This window comes from Homo sapiens, chromosome 20 (genome assembly GCF_000001405.40).
Source record: "Homo sapiens chromosome 20, GRCh38.p14 Primary Assembly".
Classification (NCBI taxonomy): Eukaryota; Metazoa; Chordata; class Mammalia; order Primates; family Hominidae; genus Homo; species Homo sapiens.
Genome location: NC_000020.11, coordinates 21,140,659 through 21,163,935, shown reverse-complemented (window position 1 = coordinate 21,163,935; position 23,277 = coordinate 21,140,659). Strand labels below are relative to the sequence as shown.

Sequence of the window (23,277 nt, the reverse complement as noted above, 5' to 3'; positions counted from 1 at the left end):
TACCCCTAAAAGAGATTTGATGTTATTAATGCCATTTTTCAGCACAAAATCACTTTTCAACAGTTAACAAGTTTTCTACATAGTAGATACACAAGAACTTTCTACAAAGTTTTCTTCTAGCGTCTCCAATCAGTAGCACAAAAACATATACAAATTTTTATCAGTCGGATAATATAAGTTCTCAAATGTATAATGCTGATGTTCCCATTTAACATTAGAGATTCTAATGTTTCCTATTTAGATTCAAAAAAGGAAATCTGGCTTACATATACAATTAGAAGAACTTATTAACTCATATTTAATCAGATGACAAAAATGATAATATGGCAAGGAATATAAGGATTAAGCAAATTAATTAGACATAAAGTTCTCAGACTCTAATGCTGCATTCCTAGTAAGTTTAACTGTCACCTTCTGTGGTACCAAAACTTCAAAACAGATTTATTTTCTGAAAGCCTGGAGAGTAGGGGGTTGGGGAATGACTTATAAGTTAACCAGGGATTATGTGTATATAATTATAAGCTGCAATCACCATGATTCAATGATATTCAAACTTTTAAAGTTTTTTTGTCAAAGAAAGAAGGAAGGGAGGAAGGAAAGAAAGAAGAAAGAAGGACAGAAAGAAAATTAGGTCTTGCCTACAAGATTACTTATGAGACTTAAGGAATTTACACATTCATGGCTGAGTGCTCGATAATACATTCCCAGTGGAATGGTCTCTAGAAATGTCTACAATTAAAAACAGAACAGTAGAAAAAAAAAATTGAATGGCTTACTCTCTTGTTGGTGCGTTAGTGGAGGATTCCTTTTCTGAATCAGGAGAGCTTAGGGTTTGCAAAATACAATTTTTTTCAGTGGATAGGGCAACTCTTTCTTGCTCAGCATGGATTAATTTTAAGGCCTCTATTCCATCTTCTCCCTCCATCTTGCCACCTGGATTTGGCTGTGGTTCTGGGCTCTCTAAAATCAGATCATCTTCACTTATTGAAATGGTAAGGTCACTGCTGGTGCTCCAACTTTCCTCCTCCTCTTCCTGCATTTTTCTGAAGGGCTTTTGTGACTTTGGTTCCCTGTGAGCAAGATGATCTGCAAGTGGCGACATGAACTGATTACCAATCACTGACTTCAGGAGGAAGCAAGGTAACACACAGCAGAATTACTCATCAGTTAAAAACATGGAGAAGCAACCCACACACAATTCATTACGGAACTTAAAAGCTTAAACACGTTTTCAAATGTTTAAAAAAATCACAGTGGGTTTAAAAATCAGCAAATTCACTCCCATGTACATATTTAAGAGTTCATTAGAATGGAATTTGTTGGCAAAGATACTATTTTATGAAAGAGAGATAATTAGTATATTTTGTCCTTACATAAGATCACTACCACCCAGAAAAATCAGCAACCAAACTCAGCCTCTCATCCCACCTGAAACACCTTCCCAAGGAGAATGCTTCTCTTGAGACCACTTATTTTCAGATTCACAGTATTCTGAAACTGGTATCGGAGAGACTGGCGGGCTGGCTCTTTTTTCCTCAACTTCAATATGTTCCCGTGTCAGTATTTCTCCCTCTGATCCGCTGGAACTGTCACACTTTAAATCAGTGGTTCTGTTCTCTGGACTTAATCTTTCCCGTAACGGGGAATTGAGTTCAGCAGACTTTTTGCCTTCAGATAAATTACTCTTGCCATGACGTGTGTTACTTCCTATCTCCAAGCAATGAGTTTGTTCCTCCTCAGACAATACACTGGCTGTGACTGGCATTTTCTCACCAATCTGAAGAGATGCCTTTCCATCTATGTTGTCAGACTTATTTAAGCACTGTGTGTCATTACTAGTTTGTACTACACAGCTGTCTGTCACATTACTGCTCTGGGCTGTCTGTCGGTGTGAATGTGGGTCAGGAATTGAAAAGTTCTTTGTGGGCTGGGGAGATTTGTGCTCTGTACTGAAATCTCTCATGCTTAAGATGGCTGACATTTGGCGGCCCATAAAGATTGTTGCTGGTTGATACAATCCTCTTGACATGGCTGTTCCTGAGTTAATCCCCTCGTGCACTGCAACCTGCAACACCAAAAGAGATGTGAGTTAAACATACTGTGTATAAACAATTAGGTGGGGTTTTTTTTTTTTTCCAGAAATGAAAGGAGGTCAAACAAAGCATGATTATTGAAATCAGCACCTACCATGTATTATTAAACTCATGGCTTCCTACATAATGAATGAGCAAAAAGCAGTAAAGTCCATAGGATTTAATTTTAATAACAATGATAGTTCACAAAACAAATATAGTAAAGAAAGTAAGCCGGGTGTGGTGGCTCATGCCTGTAATCCCAGCACTTTGGGAGGCCAAGGTGGGCAGATCATCTGAGGTCAGGAGTTCGAGACCAGCCTGGCTGACATGGTGAAACCCCGTCTCTGCTAAAAATACAAAAATTAGCCGGGCACGGTGGCAGGTGCCTGTGATCCTAGCTATTCAGGAAGCTGAGGCAGGAGAATCACTTGAACCCGGGCAGCAGAGGCTGCAGTCAGCCGAGATCATGCCACTGCACTCCAGCCTGGAGACTCCATCTCAAAAAAAAGAAAGTATAGAATATGTTTTTGAAAAAAGAAATACATGCTTTGAAAAGACGTCATCAGGAAAGTGAAAATATAACCCACATAATGGGAGAAAATATTGTAAATTATGTATCTGATAAGGGTCTAGTACCCAAAATACATAAAGAAGTCATATAACTACATAATAAAAAGACAAACAGCCCTTAAAAGTGGGAAAAGGATTTGGATAGACATTTCTCCAAAGAAGATATATGAATGGCCAATAAACACATAAAATGATGCTTAATATCATTATTCATTAGAGAAACATAATTCAAAAGCACAATAAGATATCACTTTACCCACTATGATGGCTGTCTTGGTCTGTTCAGGCTGCTATAACAATACCATAAACAGTGCATAAATAACAGAAATTTGTTTCTGATAGTTCTGGAGGCTGGGAAGTCCAAGATCAAGGCAGGCGCCAGCAGACTCTGGGTCTGGTAAGGAACTGCTTTCTCTCAGACAGCATCTTTCTGCTGTGTGCTCGCAGGGTGGAAGGGGCAGGCAAATTTCCACGGGCCTCTTTTATAAAGAAACTAATCCCACCCATGAAGGCTCTGCCCCCTTGATTTAATCACTTCCCAAAGTCCTCACCCTCAAAAACCATCACCTTGGGGATTAGAATTTCAATATATGAACTTTGGGGGGGACACAAATATTCAGCCCATATCAATGGCTATACTAAGAATGACAGGTGTCTTAATTTAGGATTTTTAAGATGGAGAGTACCCCTCCAATAATTAGGAGAAATATGAGATGGAAATAAAGACATTATCACTTACAGGTTCTGGGGAGTACATGGCACACCTGGAGGCCACACACACAAACATCAGGGAGCGCAGGCAGAGAGAGAGAGAAAAGGGACCCGTGTCCTTACATGGTAGAAGCAGGGGTTGAGGGGAAGGACACATGAGCCAATGTCTTTACTGAGTCGCAGGTGTTATCCAAACAGGTTTCCCACAGGCAGCCTGGGGAGTTTTAACTGGTGAGTTTAAAGCAAGGAGGCATGAGTTCTGGGAGGTTACCCAGTGACTGAGAGGTGGTCACTGTGGCATATGGTCCATGGGGGATGCGAAGGTCAGAAGGGCCTGTCAAGCAGGCTGCATCCAGCTGTCCCATAGGGAAGTGGTCACCAGAGAGCAGCTGTGTAAGGCAGGTTATCTGGACCGACCACACTGAGGAACTGCGAAGGAGGGTGGAACTGCCAACTGTGTCAGGGGTGACTGAGTCCTGCTTCTGGTATGAGAAGGTTCAACTTAGATTTAAAATGGATGCTGAGGCAACATAAAATTATAAGAATTCACTACAACAGGCAATAACGAGTGTAGTCCAGGATGTGGAGAAATTAGAATCATACACTGCTGATGGGAATATAAAACGGTGCACCCACTTTAGAAGAGTTTGGCAGCTCCTGAAAAAGTTAAACAGAGTTACCATCTAACCAGCAATTCCATATCTAGGCAGAAGTACGGAGAGTGTAAACATATGACTACACAAAATCTTGTAAAAGGATGTGCATAGCAACATTATTTATGATAGCCAAAAGTGGAGATAACTCCAATGGCCAACATTAGATGACTAGATAAAATGTAATACATTCATACAAGAGAATAATTTTCAGCCATGAAAAGAGATGAATTACTGATACCTGTTACATCATGGATGAACTTTGAAAATATCATGCTAAATGAGAAGCCAGTCATAAAAGACCATATACTGTAAGATCTCATTTATAGAAAATGTTCAGAATAGGCAAATTTTTAGAGACAGGAAGTAGTTAACTGTTTGCCCCAGGCTGGGGACCGAAGGGCTGGGGTGGGTGGTGGGGAGTAGAAGGAATCGGGGGGAGGTAAACAGTGATTCCCAACAGGTATGGGGTTTCTTTTTCAGGAATGAAAGTATGCTAACATTGATTGTGATTATGGCTGCGCAACTCTGAATATAATAAAAACTATAAAGCTATCACAAAAAAAGAAAATGAACAAATGAATAAAAAATCCTTAGAAAAGAAATTAAGTTATGCAGCTAATCTGAGATTAGGAAGAGTTCCCGGCCCTGAGGCTGAGATGGGAGGATTGCTTGAGCCCAGGAACTTGAGACCAGCCTTGGCAACATAGTGAGACTCCATCTCTACAAAATTAAAAATTAAAAAAAATTTTTTTAATTAAAAAATATTTGGGCACCTGTAATCCCAGCTACTCAGGGGGCTGAGGCAGGAGAATCGCTTGAACCCAGGAGGCAGAGGTTGCAGTGAGCCGAGATCTTGCCACTGCACTCCAGCCTGGGTGACAAGAGCAAAACTCCATAAAAAAAAATAATAATAATAGTAATAATAAATAAATAAATAAATATATGTGTATATATATGTATTTTACTAGCTGGGCATGGTGGCACACACCTGTGGTCCCAGCTACTTAGAGACTGAGGCAGGAGAACTGCTTGGGCCCAGGAAGTCAAAGCTGCAGTGAGCTATGATCGCACCACTGCACTCCAGCCTGGGCTACAGAGTGAGGCCCTGTCTCAAAAAAAAATTAGGAAAAGTACATCTCTCCCATCTCTCCCCACAGAGGGAGGAGAAGCAGGAAGATCCAGGAGGATAGAAAAGTATAGAGGAAAAAGGAAGTTCCACCTCCATGATCCTTTAGTCCTCTAGCTGTTCTCCCCAGAGAAAGCAACTCTAAGTTTCTTGCAGAAAGGACCTGGATACACTAGTAGGTATGTGCGTAAAGGGTGACATACTTTGCATTATATAATTATAGTTTTTATTATATCCAATTTTAACAGCTGCATATTATCCTATTCTATAGATGTACCATAATTTATGTAAACAGTCTGCTATTGAAGGACATTGGTTTGTTTCCCACCATCTTCCACTCCAAATCATGCTGCAGTGATTATCCCTGAGTGTATGTCTCTCTGCACACAGGCAAGTTTATCAGTAGGATACTTTTCTAGAACTGAAATTGCTGGGTCAAGCCTGCCTTACAGAATACTGTCATTTCACCATCCAAAGAGGCCATTATGTCATTTTAAAGAATTTTCCATTATACCATATGGTTTAAACAGCAAAATGATATTAATCAACATTCTGACTCACCAATATGAATAGTATTCATAATATACTGTGTCTTCTATTCCTTTTGTAATAAAAAAGCTGATATATATTACACTGATATAATAACAAAGACAAATTTTAAAACAGGAAAAATTACCTATTACCACTACTGTAATCTAACAACTACTTTCATTTTTCCTGTTATAAAAAAACTAGTTGTGTAAATAGATGGCTCTAAGGGATGGGCTACTATGGAGACTTTAGCAGGGCTAAAAGGGCTGAGGCCTCAGAGTGGCTGTGCAATAGCAGTTACTTGGTGGAGACATGAAGCAAATCAGTGATCAGACTTAGGAGTCTGAGAAGCCTTTAATTTTTCATTTTCAAGACCAGTTTATGAAGTGTTAATGCACCAACACCAGAGCAACGACTAACCCAGCACAGGGAGGACATGGCAGGCCTAAGCACCTTCCTCTTTTGATCCGCTAAAGGCCAAGCCAAAGCACAAAAGAAGGCACATTTCAGATATGAGAAAGACACCTGAGGAGGGCCAAAGGAAGTGCCCCTGAGTTACTGCTCTCAACTAGTAATTCTCAAATGTCTCCAACCCCCTAAGATAGGCAAAACTGAACAACGAATCCAGAGCCAAGAACTGGAGAGAAACAACAGATTGGTAATCTGCATAGTCAGGAAAAGTAGCAGGGAACCATGATGTACTTATAGTAAATGCTTCAGAACTACAGAAAGTGAAAATAAGGCCAATTCAAGAGACAACACTGTTAGCAGAGGTTTATTTCCCAAAAAGAGGAGTATTTACCACTCTCTGTGACAGCAAGTAGTTATTAACTGTTTTGCAATTTTGCCAAGCATTGCCAGACTTCTTGGAATACTGAACTCTGGGTCCTCAACAAACTCTAGTAATATACTAATTAATAAGTACATGGCATGTTAGTGGCCTGTAACAAATTAACAATTATAAAAAAGTGGCCCTTAATTATGTGTAAAAATAAAAGTCTGTGGACGATGCATCATTCATCCAAGGGCCCAAAAAAGGCAACGTGTACTTGAGGATCTGCTTCAACTCAATAGGAAGGTTGTCTTCCCGCACTATTTCTAGTTGTTGCCAGTATTATTTATAGGAACCAGTAACTTTTTATTTTGACATAATTTAAACAATTTTTTTTTTATTTATAGAGATGTGGTCTATGTTGCCCAGGGTGGACTCGAACTCCTGGACTCAAGTGACCCTCCTGCCTCAGTCTCCCAAGTAGCTGGGACTGCAGGTGTGCATCAGCATGCGTGGCTTTACTTTGATATAATTTTACACTTACAGAAACATTGCAAAAATAATACAAAACACTCCCTTAACAGTGTTTAGCCAGATTTACCAAATGTTTACATTTTATCCCATTTATCATTTTCTCTCCCTCTACATATATGTGTTTGTCTCTGTATGTGTGTATACCTAAATATAAGCTATGATTTTTTTCTGAACCATTTGAGGGTAAGTTGGGACACCCTGCCTATCTACCACTAAGCACTTCAGTGAGCATTTCCAAAAGCACAGAGACACGCTCTTTCTTGAGCACAGTTCATGATCAGAATCAGAAAATTTAACATTGATATTATCTTGTTTTCTATTCCACAACCCATAATCCAATTTTGTCAATTGGGCCAATAATAAGCCAGTAACAAAGTCATTTATTATTATTATCACCAAGTATTATATACTATACATAATTGTTTCTGCTATACTTTCATACAACTGGCAGCACACTAGGTTTGTTGACACCAGCATCACCACAAACATGTCAGGAATGCATTACACTACAATGTTAAGTCATTAGGCAACAGGAATTTTTTCAGCTCCATTATAACCCTACGTCTAAGACTGATAACAATGTAATACCATTCTATAAACATTATATTGAATTTTTAAAAATTAAAATTATAACAATCCTGGATTGGGTCCTGGAACAGCAAAAAAAGAAGACATTAATGGAAAAACTGGCAATATCTGAATCAAGTCTAGAGTTCAGTTAACAGTAATGTATCTGTGTTGGTTTCCTAGATTTGCCAAGTGTGGCATGGTAATGTAAGATGGTAACAATGGTGGAAACTAGGTGAGGGATCCAAGGGAACACTTTGTACTATCTCTGCAACTTTTCTGCAAATCTAAAATTATTGTAAAATAAAGATGATTTTTAAAAATTATAACCCCCCAGTACTGAGGAAGGTTAGGTGAAATAGAAGCTGTCACACCGCTGGTGGCTGAATACATGGGCAGAATCCTCGTAGGAAAGAATCTGGCATCAAAAGTCCTAACCATGCTTGTTGCTTTGATTCAGTAATTCTATATGGAAATCCATCATAATAAGGAAATAAAGCTAATAGAAAAAGCAGCTATGTGGACAAACAAGTTCACGTAGAGCATTATTTCAAATCATAAAAAGTTGGAAGCAACTTATATGACTATAAAATAGGGAAAGGTCATGAAGTCATAAAAATGAGGCAAATAAAGACTATGTCATAACAAAAATACTTAGATACGGTAAATTTAAACTTTTGAAAACCATTTTACTGAGATATAATTCACATACCATAAAACTTATCCTTTTAAAAGCATACAATTCAGTGGGTTTTTAGTATATTCGCAGAGTTGTGCGACCATCACCACAATCAATTTTGGAACATTTTTTTCATCACTCCAACAAGAAACCCCATACCTTTTAGCGTAACTCCCCATCCTCCCCAGTCAGTCCCCAGCCCTAGGCAGCCATTAATCTACTTTCTGTTTGTAAAAATCCGCTTATTCTGCACATTTTATGAATATGTAAGTGGAATCGTATAATATGTTGTCTTTTTTGATTGGTTTCTTTCACTTAGCACAATGTTTTCAAGGTTTATCCATTTTGTGGCATTTATCAGTATTTTATTCCTTTTCATGGCTGAATAATATTCTATTTTAAGGATATACTGTAGTTTGTTTATCCATTCATCAGATGAGAACATGTAAATTGTGTCCACTTTTTGGCTACTATGAATAATGCTGCTATAAACTTTTGTCCACTTTTGGTGTCCAATCTTGTACACAGCAAGCTGCTATGCTTGAATGCTATGCTATGAATGAAACTGTTGCCTCGTACGGTAACTATATGTTTAACTTTTTCAGGAACTGCCAAACTGTTTTCCAAAGTGTTTGCACCATTTTACATTCCCACCGGCAATTATATAAACTTTTATAACAAAAAATGAGAAACTTGCAAAAATTAACTGCTGCTCACTATAAGACAATGCTGCATTTGAACTAGCTCCACACTTGCAACGTAAAATACTGGCTCCAGTGAAATGTAAGCTGAGTTTCTGTAGGCTGGCAGGTTTCCCATTTGCTGAGATCAGGCTCTAAGACAGGTGTCTCTTCTTTTTTAAAAGTCTGTCATTTTATTAGCTTAGCAACAGGAAACAGAGTACTCTTTAATCTTAAATTCTGAACACTATTATGTGTCTTCTCAAAGCAGTTTCTGAGCCAGGGAAGCTGAAAACAGAATGCCATGTTTCACATTATTGTTGACACAGGAATAATATTAGGAATTCAAAAGTTTTTGAGAGACAGATGTTATTGCCAAAAGCAGCAGCATGTATCAGTATTTAAGGATCTGACATAATGACCAACTTTTCCACACCTTCCTATTACTTTCTGTAGTTGAGTGCTAGAGATAAATCTATAATCCAAGATTTTAGTTCAGTTTTCTTCTCTTCTTGTCACAGTTATTCATCTGCAGTCTTGAAAAATGTTAGGAGTTGTGGGAAGCAATAGCAAAGCACATGAACATGACTGAAAATATTTATTAGTGAACAGAAGATAACTTTTAAAAATCAGGAATTCATCTTTACTGGGGGAAAGAAGAGGAGTGAGCATAAGAAGAGATCAACAAGTTTAGAACTGTAATGATGTCTTAATCATTATGAACTACAGCATTTAAAGGCAGACCTCAACCACTAGTATACTTTGAAAAAAAAGTTACACTTCATGTTTTGCAAAATGCTAAGGAAATCTTTATTTTTCTTCTTCTTATTATCTTCACAGACAAGGGAATGAGAAGCAGCAAGTTAAATGCAGAACAGAAATGAAGCTGTTAGACCAAATTTTCAGCTTCTCACATGGTACAATTATTGTTTTTAATTTCTATGTAAGCAAGTTCTTAAGTCACATTGAGAAGATTTTTAAAAATCCATTAACAATAATTTACATCCAACAATCCTGAAGTTATATGTTTATTATAAAATTATTATACATATTTTACATGATACACGTATCACACACTGAATTGTGTCCAATTCATATGTTGAAGTCCCAATCCCCACTGTGGCTTAAAGGATAGGGCCTTAAAGGAGGTAATGAAGGTTAAATTATGTCATAATGGTGGGACCTTAATCCAATAGAATTGGTGTCCTTATAAGAGGAAGAGATACCAATGATCTCTCAGTTCATGCACAGAGAGAAAAGGCACATGAGGACACAGTGAGAAGGCCCCTTCTATGACTCAAGGAGAAAGGCCTCACCAGAAAGCGACCCTGTTGGCACCTTGATCTTGGACTTCCAGCCTCCAGAACTTCAAAAAACACATTTCTGTTGTTTAAGCCACCCAGTTTGTGGTATTTTGTTATGGCAGCCCTAGCAAACTAATACAGTATGCCATTGTGATTTTTAAGTCTTCTTCTTACATGTTGCCACCATGACAAATGTAGTCATCACCAAAATCTCACAACTTAGACCATCGAGAGATATCTCTGGCCATGAAATTCAACAGTTATTGGAACTATCTAAATTTAAGATATATCTGTTAAATTAGGCTTTAATGGTGTATTCTGTAAATTATCTTGCACAAAATCAATCTTTACGAATTGTCACCATCAAGTGCTATTACCTCCTATTTCTTCAATTCATAGGTAGTCTCCCTACCCCCACACCAACCTCTTCACTATCTTAAATAAGTGGCAAGAATCCAGGATCAAAGTAAGGCTACCCTAGTGGAGAACAACAATGGTAATGATGGTGGTGACGGTGGCATCAAGAGCAGGGAACATTTATCAAGCATGTACGAGGTGACAAGGAGGAGCTAAGAGATTTATATTATGAAAACAATCATTATTATTAGCCCTACTCTTATGAGACTTAGCCAGGTTGAGCAACTTGTCCATGTTCACAGAGCCAGGATTTAAACTCAGATACCAGGACTCCAATGCAAACCTCTTATGCTACAATATTCAAAACTGAGTCAGTCAAACTCAAATTGCATTACTGAACCACAGCTTTTAAAAACAAACATAAAAATCCCTAATAGTGAATCTGAAGCCTGTGCCTAATTTCTAACTTCAAATAACTCAAAATCTGATCTCACTAAGATAGACCCTGAATAGAACTTGTATATGATAAATAAAACCTAGTCTATGTGGGGTAAATGGAAGAGTAAGAGAAAAGCAGGTATGAGCTTCAAGAGAAATTCGGCATTCCAAAATAGTGACAGCAGGTAACTTTCACAAAATAAACAGAACACCCCAAAACCACTGTTTCACATCCGTAGGCCTAAGCAATTGTCTTGGTCAAAGTAATACAAAGTTAAGTTATGGTTTTCAAGTAACACTTCCTAAGAGGCTTAACAAATACCTAAAACTGTCAAGGTAACAGCCCTTTCTTTTTATAATACAATTCAATATCCCCTGTATATGCTCCACCATCCCCAAATAGGGTAACTCAGGATAAAACTCTCTTAGAGATCTCCATTCACAAAAGAAATATGCAGAACTACATCAGAGGGATAGAAAGGCACCTCCAATTTTCTATAATTCTGAGGGATTTGAGTAAGGACGTAAGCAACTCACACTCCCCCACAATTAAAAGAACAGTCTCAACCACAAGCAGGCTCCTTCTTCCTAAAATGAACTAACCACCTGCTCATCCCTTCTTCATAGGTTTAATTTTTAAAATCGTATAAAAATTATTAAATTATAGAAATGAGACATAAGGCAAAGGGATGTAAAGAACAAGTTACTTATTTTCCCCAGCTCATTGCCTCCCTCTCCCCTCCATGAAGTAACTGAAGCAAACCAGTTAGGATGCCTATTCACACCTTCCTTCAAACCCAGGACAACTAATTCCTTGCTGGTAAGGTTTGGCCACTTGTACAAAGTGAGAGCATGTTGTAAGCAACTCTCCGCAACCTGCTTTGCTCTCTTAATAATATTCCTTGGACGCTGCCCAGATCATGAGGAATGCACTGGATTCTGGGCGCCATATGCAGAATACTTGATCATGAGGGTGCTCTCTCTCCCTAGCTCAGCCTCTCCTCTGCAGCTGCTCATTCAGGCTGCTTCTGTGTTTTTGCTGCTACAAATAATGTTGCAACACGCAGACTATATTTTTGCCGTTTTGAACAAAAGATTTTCTTTCTAGGGCACAGATTACCAAAAGTGGGACTGCTGGCACAAAGCATATGTGTGTATTCATCGTGACTGTTACTACCAGATTCTTTTCCAAGAAAGTTCTAGGCACTAACTTTTTTTTTAAGACTGCATGAAGTATATCTTTTTCTAATAATACAGTATTTCATGGACTATATGAATTTGGAAAGTCTTCTAAAGAACAAGAACTCAATACTCGTTCTCCTATGGAGCTTCTATAAATCCTTTTCTACTATCAAAAGGAGAAAAGAAACAGTGTTTCCCCACAAAAATTTATCTTTTTCTTGTTAAATTGACTTACGTTTCTTTTCCCCTTCTCATCCACTTTTTTTCTCTTCCCCCTCATTCCACTACACGATAGGCACCTCTATCTGTGAATACGATTTTCTCACTTGTTAGAGCCTCTGTCACATAATACACTTGCCACAGAATACTGCCACAGAGAAGAGCAAAGGAAGACAGCTGGCTAGCCAAATGTCCCCACAATGGGTAAGTTATAAAAATACTGTCTTTCCTTCTTGACTATGAGAGAGTAGCTAATACCTTTAAAAAAGGCCCTCTCCCACCATTTTCCTAAGTAAATCCTTTCTTCCAGTAACTGAAAAGCAGACTGATGTATTTATTAAGACTCCAGACCAGTATGCCACTTACTAGCTGTGTGACTAAGAAATTAAGTTACTTATTTGAGCTCCCATTTCTTAATCTGTAAAATGGGTATTAAAATAGTTCTTATTTTGTAAGGTTGCTGTAACCAATGTGTATTTCTATACGCCTATATTATATAAAATCCTTAGAATAGTGCCTGAAAGACCCATGGGGGAGCTGTCCATCAGAGCCACACTCCCCACCAGCTCCTTGGAAGGCACCCCCAAAAGCAGGAGTGGAGAGTCCAAATGTCATCTGCCCTCGAACACCACATGAAATGGGGAGTACCCTTCACTCAGAGAGCAGCCCACCCCTCTTCCTCCTTTCAGGTCAGCAGGTTATCATCACTCACCAGGTGCAGGGTGCTGTGGGGTGGTGTGGCAGGCAAGAAGGGGCTGGGCCCTGCCATGTGGAAGCTTACTGTCAAGTGAGCTGGGAGAGAAGAGCATGTTCTACCCTCTCTTGAAAAAAAGGTCTGCAGATCTGCAGATGTAGTTTTAGGGCCAGGGCTTGAAATACAATTTGTGTAATTCGGGTTAATTTCTAATTGTTTTCTGAATACAAACACATATAAATAAGAAATCAGTTAATATAAAAAGGTCCAGCTGAACACAGAGAGGCTACTTTTTGACTTGTCATGGCTCTGTCTAAATCAAGTACAGCCATAACTTTGAGAATGGCAGAACCGAGGGCCACGTTCCCCGTGAAGGCAACTGCTCAGAGCCCCCGTCTAGGGAGATTTTTGTGTTGTTTATAGTTGAGCAGTGATTCAAGGAGGCTGCTGGTGAAGGTGGCACTGTGGGCTAATAAGGATAAGAAATCGGGCTTATACAGAGAACTCAAAGGAATAACCTCTACCTCCTCCACCCACTGTTATTTCCCTTAGCAGGTGTGAGAGGGCGGGCCCATATCCCTGGGCCCTCATCATTCCAGTACCTGCCCAGTGTCCTCCTCTAAGCACCTGTGCCTCTTGGCCCAAGCGTTTCTCTCAGCTGCTGTGCAGCACCAGAAGAGGAGCCAGGCGTGGCACTCTGGTAGTGACAGACCTGGAGGGGAAAAACCTCCCTTTCCTACTCCTTGAATGGGATATCCCTGAGGCATGCCCTACACAGTCATCCAAGGTTCCCCAATGGGACTGAGCACCAGGTGCTATGAGTGATAACCCACTCAATCACACACTCTTACAGCCCGCTTTCCCTTCCCCATGCCATCTTCCTCTCTTTTCTATCTGTGCTTCCTGGGACCACCTCCCATATAAACTACTTACACTCAAATCCTTGTGTTAGGGTCCTTCCCAGGGGATTCCAACCTAAGTCACTTGCTCTTTCAGTATAGTTTTAGGATTCCTTTCTCCCTTGCTGCAATATTTATTTCAATCAAGTTTCCCCCACACAAGGTATCTGGTCCCTTTACTCCTTGGAGATGAGCCAGGTCCTACAGTGGCTGCCTTGGTCTTATGAATGGTGCTCAGATCCTGGGAACACATCTGGAATGGAAGAACCCTTTCCATCATCTCATACTGGGGTGCTGTCTTCTCTGACGTGTGCCTCTCCTGCAGTGGCACTGCTCCTGGGAGCACCTCGGACACATGCTCAGATCCGTGGCTAAAGCCACTGCAGAGCTCATCCCTGCATACCAGGCACACAGCTGCCTCCTGTGGCCGTGCAGGCTTTCTCCCTTCAAGTTCTTCTTCAGTCGAGTTGTAAGGCATTTCTTCTGCCCAACAAAGCCAACCGAAACGGACGCTTCTTTTATTGCAAACATGGGCAGTTTAGGGGGCGGGTCCTCAGCTTGCCATGGCTCACCTGATTCAGCTCAAATACTACAGCACCAAGGAAGACCATTTCCTCCCTCAAGTCTAGGTAAAAATGCAGTATTTAAAGTTGTTTTTATTTCACCAGGAATTTCTCCAACTTTTGAAGAGCTACCCATACTATCTTTTACCCATACTACCTTAGAGGGCATTGCTGCAAGGTGGTTAACAGCATGGATGCTGAAGTCCAGTGGTCTGGGTTTGAATATTGGTTCTGCCTGGTTGTGTAGTTTTCGGCAAGTTAACTAAATTTTCTGAGCCTTACTATAAAATGGGGACAACAATATCCTCTACTTCCAGGGTTGTTGAGAAGATTAAATGAGTTGATACACATAAAGTGTTAACGCAGCACCTAGCAAAGTAAAAGTGCAGTGATTATTACCCATTGTTACTACCAGTATTAAAAGTGGGAATAACACCTTTATAACCATTCTCCCACCTGATCCTTGCAGGGAGGGTTACCACAGTGGAAGTGAAGCTCCTCAACAAGCCTTCAGCTCTGTGATGAAATTCCCTGGTCCTCCACACCTATCCATCCCTGACAGAGTATGATCAGTTTGCTTCTATTTCTAGTAGAATATATTTCACAGCATAATAGTTCAAAGAAACCTTACAACCCTATCCCCAAATGTATACTGTCATTCAAAAACGCCATCTCAATCTTTCTTGAGGACATACATTTTTATGTGTTTTTATGTATATTCTCTAGTCACCGTTCTTCAACCAGAAGAACATGTCTGGAAACAGAGTTTGCCCCCAAAATAAAAAATAACAATATATATAATAGAGGTGAAGAATTACTATAGTAAAATTTGTGAGGATCTGAGTGGGGCTTGAAATGTGCCTTTTTGGTAAGACACATTTTTTGTAAGCTGACTAAGTAAATTAATAGTGGAAACAAGCATGGCAGATGAACAGACTAACTATTAATCCTTCTAAGCGAATGTATGATTCTAAAGAGCAACTACTGGATGCAAGCAAATAATAGATGTCCTACACCAAAACTGAGCCAGAGTTTTTATATTTAAAAAATGGACACACACCACTTGATGACTTTTCTTGGCATCCAAGTTACTGCCTATGGTTGAAAGCTGTATAGCCACTTAAAAAATACCTTTTTATAATTCAGAATGATCACCAATTTGATAGATCCTCTCCCCTTTGTTAGTGTTTTCCACCTCAATGGCCATCCCCAATACAGGTCCTCCATTCTGTTAATTCCTCCTGTCTGAATGGAGCCTGATTTCCTCAGTTCCACGTACTCCTCCCCAGGCTCATCCTGCACAGCACTGCCAGCCTCATCTTCCCGCAGCTGCACACATGGGATGTGACTGCTCTGCTCACAAGTCCTTCCTTCATCTGCTGCCACACACACACACACACACACACACACACACACAAATTCCAGGAGGAAATCTCAGTTCTTAGCCTGGGACCATAGTTCCAGGTACCAAATCCCACAAGGTAGCTTTCCAAGCTCATTTTCTACCACTGACTGGCATCCTGCACATCCTTCTATGCCAGCTCACACACCACCTCCTCCACCAGGGCTGGGATTACTCAATTCACAGGAAGCAGAATCTTCTTTCTTCTCATTGCTCATGTTTGTCCCACGTGACTGGCACTTTATCACACACTATTCTGTGCCTTAGAAAGAACATTGCTTTCTGAGAAGCACTCTGAAGGTAAGAAAATTGTGGCCTTCATAGAGGGGCCTACTGTTGCTTCTCAAAGAGAACTGATGCTTAACAACTATTTATTGATTCAACCAGTGACTGTACTATGCTTCAGGAAAGGCCCTGGAGGTCAATGACCAAGACCAATTCATATGACTGCCCAAAGAAGAGAAGCTTGGATTTCCACTAAACAATAAGCTATAACTCATATGATAAGGAATGGTTCAGGAATTAGTATAAGGATTAACTAAAACATGATTTTGCTGAAATGTATTTACCTTTTAATTGGTTGAACATCAATGGAAAATTAGAAAATGCAAAATATAAATTTCTCAAAGTGTTACCTAATCGATTCTTATACAGCCAATAGTCAAAGCTTTTAAGGAAATGACACCTTTCCATATAAATGAAAAGACTTCTAATTATTATATGTAACATTTTAAGGGGTTGTCAACTGTATGTCTCTTGCCCTAATTTTAAATATGTCCTAAAAGGAGACTCCACAACTACATGCAAGGTAAAGAATCAGTGGGTAAATAAAGAAAAAAAAAGCTTCCGTTTTCCTGAAGTACCATTGACACTGCCGTGCTAAGAATATGTCTATCAAGAATGGCATAGAAAGAACTAACTGGCTTCTAGATTAAAACACATCAATTATTTCATGACCGAATATCAAATAGAAAAACTGCCTGAATGCTCTAAAATTCTATCACATCATACCACATTTGGCCTACATCGAATGGCATATACGTCATTTATCATTAAAGCCTTTTTATATAGGTCAAGGTTGCTGGGGCTTGGTGTTTTGTATCTTACAGTTTAAAGAATGCTCTAAGTTCTAGGGTTTTTTTTTTAATTTTTTAATCTATGAGGAAGGAAAACGAAAACTTCCTATAAACTCAGATTAATGCCTGCTAATGCACGGAAGAAAGAAAAACTAAAACCTTCCTCCTACTATAAAAACAAAATAGTGTGGCCTCTGTTTCTTTTCTGATAAGAGTCTTAAATACCCAACAGTTAACTGCATAATAACATTTACTGGCAGCCAGGCAGCCTGCTTAGCAGATATATAAAGCAGGTAAAAGGAGAAAAAGTTAATTTCTTGGCTGAATGATTCCATCGGTAGCTATAGGGCAAACCTGAAAGTCTTTTAGTAAAGTAGCAGTTGATTCTTCTATCAATCTGTAGCACACACACTCTTCCAAGGAAAGCATTAAATATGAAAATCATATCCCGTTATCATCTGTTTCCAGCTTTCAGCCCAGTAAGCTTTTCTTAATGAATGCTGCAGCCTAAGGAACAAGCACGCTGTTGGCTTTTCTGAATAATGGAGTGATGCTACCATTTTTGCTTATTACAATATCGACTGGCTGAGGGGGTTTCACACATAGTCACAAGTGACTACTCTTGCCAGCATGCTCCAAGTTATTACAAGATGTTTTTAGACATTTCATCTAAAAGAGCTTTACTGCTTTTAGTGAAGAAAACATCTACGGTCTTGAACAGAATCATTTATATGGAGATAGGCAGGAGGATTAGAAGCCTGCATTATAGCAGATACATAGCAGAATTTATTTAAGTATTCCTTGTCGATCTTTTTGTCTATTGCTTAGATATGCAATCTTTTCTTTCCACGTTTTCTGTGCAAAGGTTAAAATGTACAAAATTATGTATATTCGCACAAATAAAAGAATCAAAATGCCATATTTTGTTTACTTTTCATTTAAAACACTTCTCAAACTAAGAAAAGAGCAGCTACAAGGCATGATTTAGAAAAACAATTTTACCTACTGACAACACTGAGGTTTTCTTTAGAGTCTATCCTTTCTTCACAAAGTAACACCCTTTCAGCAAACTTAATTAAATTAGACATTAAAGCAATATTCTGTAAGCAAAAATCTTTAAATAATCACGTAAGGTTTAATCAAAGGGATCTTCCTAATAAGATGATTTTATTTAAAACAATATCTCAAGATATAAACACTCCAGAATTCCTCTGTTAACAGAAAGGTTACCAATTTAGTTTATTACCTTTTCTCTGTCTTCATCTGTCAGTTCCTCTTTTAGTCCCAGGCTATCTTTTGAGCATAGCATCTTCTTAATTTGAGTCTCATATTCGAGCTAAATATAAAGAAAGTTTGATTTTGTGATAAATATTTTTACAACTAGCACCTGTCTGTATACTGCGGTCTTTACAACATACAGGGAGCATTGAAGTAGAAAGTAAAAGCTGATGTTGCCAAGAAATTCACCTTATCTTAGAAAATGAACAATTTTGCAAATGACACATATCAAAAGTTGAATTTTACAAAATGCTACAATTTTTAAATAAAATAAGATTTGATGGATTTTTACTTTCATCAACTTAGGAAATAAAATCTTTATATATATACACATGTATATGTGTATATATATGTATACAGTTTGATACTTTATCACAAAAATACAATTCCTTTATTATGAAAGTAGCACATTAGACAGTGTTTCCTTTTAGAAGTTTTGCCCCAAACAAACAAAAAAAATCAATCCTACTGATTTCTTATCTATATGATATCTACAAAATATCATGATTCTGATCGTCACAGCAATTGAGCATACTTGCTAGATCATCAACTTAAAACAAATTCCATTTTCTATGAATAAAAATATACTGCAGACATCAATGATCAGAAACCAATTTGCTCTGGCACTAATAACTACATAAAGATGTCTGCATCATCACCACACTATAATTGGTGAAAGTGATTCAATCTTAAAATGGCTTTTTCTTAAAAGCAAGGCATAAAAAAGCACTTTGATTCAGTACGCTAGTAATTAAAGCCTTAAAAAAGTCATGGATTGTGGTCCATCAAAGATAAGTATCAGAACATTTTCTAAATTAGGCAGGTATGCACTGTAATTAGAAACACACCTATGAGATGAAATGAGAAAGCTGTTTCCTTAGTTCTCTGAACATAAAATAGGCCTGAGCTTTGTTTTGACATACGAAAAACAAATGGGCAATAATAACCAAACTGATTTGTTTCCCTCAAAATATTTTGAAAGGTAATATATGCTGTCTCATTTTTAGTAACAGTTAGGTATGGATTTTTTTTTCTCCAGCAGAGTACTATATGATAGATGGCAGTAATTCTCTAAATAGATACCCAATTAAATGAAAATTTTATCAGGCCAGTACAAATGATAAAATAATAAACTAGGAATAGATAAAGCAATAACAAAGATACAATTTACATCTCTCTGTTCCATATCTATTCCTCTGAACTTAGAGATGTTTACATTTTAGCCCCAAGAGCTTTAAACAGGCATCCTTTACAGATTCCAAGGGATAGTATCTCAAAAAGAAATGGGGGATGAATTACAATATAAACATATAATTACAGGTTAAATAAAAATTCTTTTTTCTTGTGACTACAAATGTTTTCTTACGCTCTTTGAGATCAATGAGCATTGTACCTGATTTCCTCATTATAGGATCATTTCAGAGCCATACCTTCCAAAGACAGAGCACTTTCTCATAGAAATATGAGAGTTTTATTCAATTCATTTTGCTGAAGGAAAAAGGAAGTGATAACTGCATAAAGTCTTCCTAAAGAACAGAAAGAAGTATCTTTAAAAGCCCAATTTAGACTGCTCTCAATGCAACTGAAAAAGTCACTCAACTGTAGATACTCTTTAGCTAAATTAATAATGCAAACAGAAATCGCACAATGAAGTCAGAGAGATACAATGATAAATTAATGATACAGAATGTAAGTCTATATCCCCTGGGACCATGGATTTCCATCAAAAAATACTTTGTTCTCTTTTTCTTTTTTATTTTTGCATACAACACCTGGTTATTATCCATGTCCGGAACACTGGAGAGCAGGAGTTTTCCACAGCGCTCTCCAGAGCCTACTCATGCCCCAGTAACATCTCCTGGTCTGGAGCCCCTCTAGGGATAAATAATTCCCTTATCTCCCCTGCCCCAACCCAAGAAATCTGTTTTAATAAACCCAAGAGCACTGAGTTAATCCATCAGGTAACTTGTTCTGTCTGTCACTGTATTGCTTCACAGCACTGGCTTGATGCTGCCCACCTAAATTTAGCAGAACCTTTCCATTTACTTCCTCAGTATGCACATGTAATTTATTTCAGCTGAATTAATGAAATCTGTTAACAACGATTAACAGATTGATGGAGGATTGATGGAGGTTCTGGCAGAAGTTTCAGGTCTCTGGGATTTCTCTCCATGCTCACAAACGTTTTCCATTATGATACTTTCTGCATTCTCACTTCCGTCAATTTCCCCTCCATCACTTTACTGTTTGCCTGAAAGTGCCACCACTATCTTTTTTTGCTACAGATTTCCTTTTTCATTGTTTTTCAGGGTTGCACAGCTAATTCTCAAGTTACAGAATAAGTGAATAATTGAACTGAATCGACGTTTAAAATCTGCTGGCCCTGTCTCCTCACATTAGAGTTGAGGAAATGGGTACAGAGAGTTACATAATGGGCTGATTTGATCCTCAAGTCAGTATGAGAGATGCAACTAAGCTTCACAGTCTTTTGTTTTCTCTTCTCCTATTTTTTTCCAATATCTGTGCTTCCTCTTAGATCGTGAACTTTTACCAAAGATATGGGGGAACGTTCATTTGTTCAACTAATGCATATTAACAGGCAAGACACTTTGGTTGATAAAAAGTGGTATTTGCTACACACTTTGCCCTCCAGGGGCATGAAGGTTGTGCCCTGCTCACAATGTCTGTCACAATCCTCAGCAGAAACCAAATCAGAGTTCAAAAGACTTGTTCTCAAATATTAGCCCCTTATAGGCATACATAACCTAATGACTGAATTTTCAAGGAGAAACACATCTATTTTACTTTATTTATTTATTTATTTATTTATTTGAGACAAGGGCTTGCTCTGTCACCCAGGCTGGAGTGCAGTGGCATGATCACAACTCACTGCCCTTCAACCTCCCAGGCTTAATCTATCCTCCTACCTCAGCCTCGCAAATAGCTGGGACTAGAGCACATGCCACCACATCCAGCTAATTTTTTCTATTTTTTTGTAGAGACAGGTTCTCATCATGTTGTCCAGGCCTGGAGAATCACATCTTTAAATAATGACATTATATATTCAGAATACCTCTGCTATTAAACAGAAATGCTAACTGGGAAGGTATAATAAAGAGTATCATCAATACCACATTAGTTCTCACATAGTAGTAGTTCATGGTCCATAACAGAATGAGACAAAAAATATGGAAGAATTAATTTCAGTCAAGGGGGAAGTCTCAATGCTTACTGAGTGCTTATTATGTGCCATATTATGGGTCAGATACTGAGAGCATTGAAATAATAAGACAAGGAGCTCACAGTGAAGTGGGAAAACAGACATGTAAACAATTATAATACCATGAAGGAAGTGCTTACTGAGATAATTATGACACAGACCTAAGGCAGGGCAGGGGGAAAAAGGCCTTCTAATTGAAGGAGGTATGAGATAATGTGGTGCTTTCAAGGAAATGCAAATTGTCCAGCATGCTTAAAGCACCGCGGGTGCATGTAAGAGTGTGTATGTGTGTATGTGTGAGAGAGAGTGTGTGTGTACGTGTGCGGGAGATAAAGATGTAGAGAGACAGTGGGAAGATATGGGGGTGGAAGAGTTAGAGGATCTGGAGAAGACAGATTTGGGGGCAAGAAGAGGCAAGGAGACAGGAATAGGAGACAGGGGAGAGATAAGAGGGAGAAATGGGGATGGCAGGAGAAGGTGGAGGGGGGAAATTAGGGAGAGATGAGGAGAAAAAATGTGCACGTCTGTGTATTTGTGTGAGAGAGACAAACACAGAGAGAGAGAGAGAGAGAGAGAGAGTGTGTGTGTGTGTGTGTGTGTGTGTTGGGAGGAGTAATAAGGGTGAGGCTGCTCTGTGCAGGCAGAGACCAGCACCTGGGCTTTGTCCTCAAAAGCCTGGGCCAGCATTTCAGGCCAAGGAGAGACCTAACCAGATGAAGACTCTTGTGCCTGCCATGGGGATCCTCCCTGAATGCCCTGACATGTAGACCCCATGCCTGGCAATATTGCCATGAGGTAGGCTAAGGCAGATGCTGGCAACGTTCTACACACATCCCTAGGACCTTTCTGGGCACTCCTAACTTCTGGAATCTGGGGCTCCGTGCCTAAGGCTTCTCAGAACCTGGGAAGGCTGCTCTGGAGAGTGTTTGGTTAATTCCCTACCACCTACAACCTTGCTCAGCAGTCCTCAATCAATGCTGCTTAGGAGCTGCTGGACACATATCCCGAATGTGCAAACCACTTACCAGAAGTTCCCTGTAGGATTTGGCGCCAGGCTGACTATGGTAGCTAGCTTAATAATACACCCAGTGCCCTCCCTGCCTCCCTTCCCCCATTTCCTACTGATATTCCTTATTTCCCAAATCAACCACTTACCGTCAAATCCCTGTTCTCCAGGTCTGCTTCAGGGAGAACCCAACCTGAGACAAGGATAATGGGGACCTGAGTGAAACTGCTTTAAGTTAGGACCAACTGGGGCCCCCTCTACAAAAGCAGCTAATACAGGGAGTAGGGGGGCAGAATGAGGGAGAGGAGGGCAGACTCCTCACAGCATTAATACTAATATTTACATTCTTGGGTTTTTTTAATTTACTTTATTATTATTAATTTTTTTTGGAGAGCCAGGGTCTTGCTCTGTCGCCAGGGCTAGACTGCAGTGTCACCATCATAGCTCACTATAACCTCAACCTCCTGGGCTCAAATGATCCCCCCCCATCTCAGATTCCTGAGCAGCTGAGACTACTGGTGCACACTCCTACAGCTGGCTAATTTTAAATTTAATTTTTAAATTTTATTTTTAAATTTTTTGTACAGATGGGGTCTCACTATGTTGCCCAGGCTGGTCTCGAATTCCTGGCCTCAAGTGATCCTCCCACCTCAGCCTCCTAAAGCACTGGGATTACAGGCATGAACCACCATGCCCAGACCTAATATTTATATTTTTGAACTGTGTTTATTCAGCCCC

At 39.1% G+C, this 23,277-nt stretch overlaps 1 protein-coding gene across 14 annotated transcripts in view; it reads right to left on the bottom strand.

Annotated features, from left to right (window-relative positions):
* The window catches only part of KIZ (kizuna centrosomal protein), a 120,648-nt gene that overhangs the window by 82,687 nt on the left and 14,684 nt on the right, over positions 1-23,277 (bottom strand). For 11 of the 14 annotated variants that reach the window (XR_937105.4, XR_001754334.3, XR_007067468.1 and 8 more), the window contains 3 exons: positions 18,282-18,371; positions 1,429-2,065; positions 777-1,086 (listed from right to left, as the gene is read on the bottom strand). Coding sequence is in view for 11 of the 14 variants with exons in the window: in NM_001276389.2 (NP_001263318.1) it covers positions 777-1,086; positions 1,429-2,065; positions 18,282-18,371 (1,037 nt within the window). In the remaining 3 variants the exon portion in view is untranslated. Of the gene's footprint in view, positions 1-776; positions 1,087-1,428; positions 2,066-18,281; positions 18,372-22,688; positions 22,733-23,277 lie in introns of those variants that run through there. The other 3 variants (NM_001352436.2, XM_047440292.1, NM_001163023.3) reach the window with 3 other exon arrangements.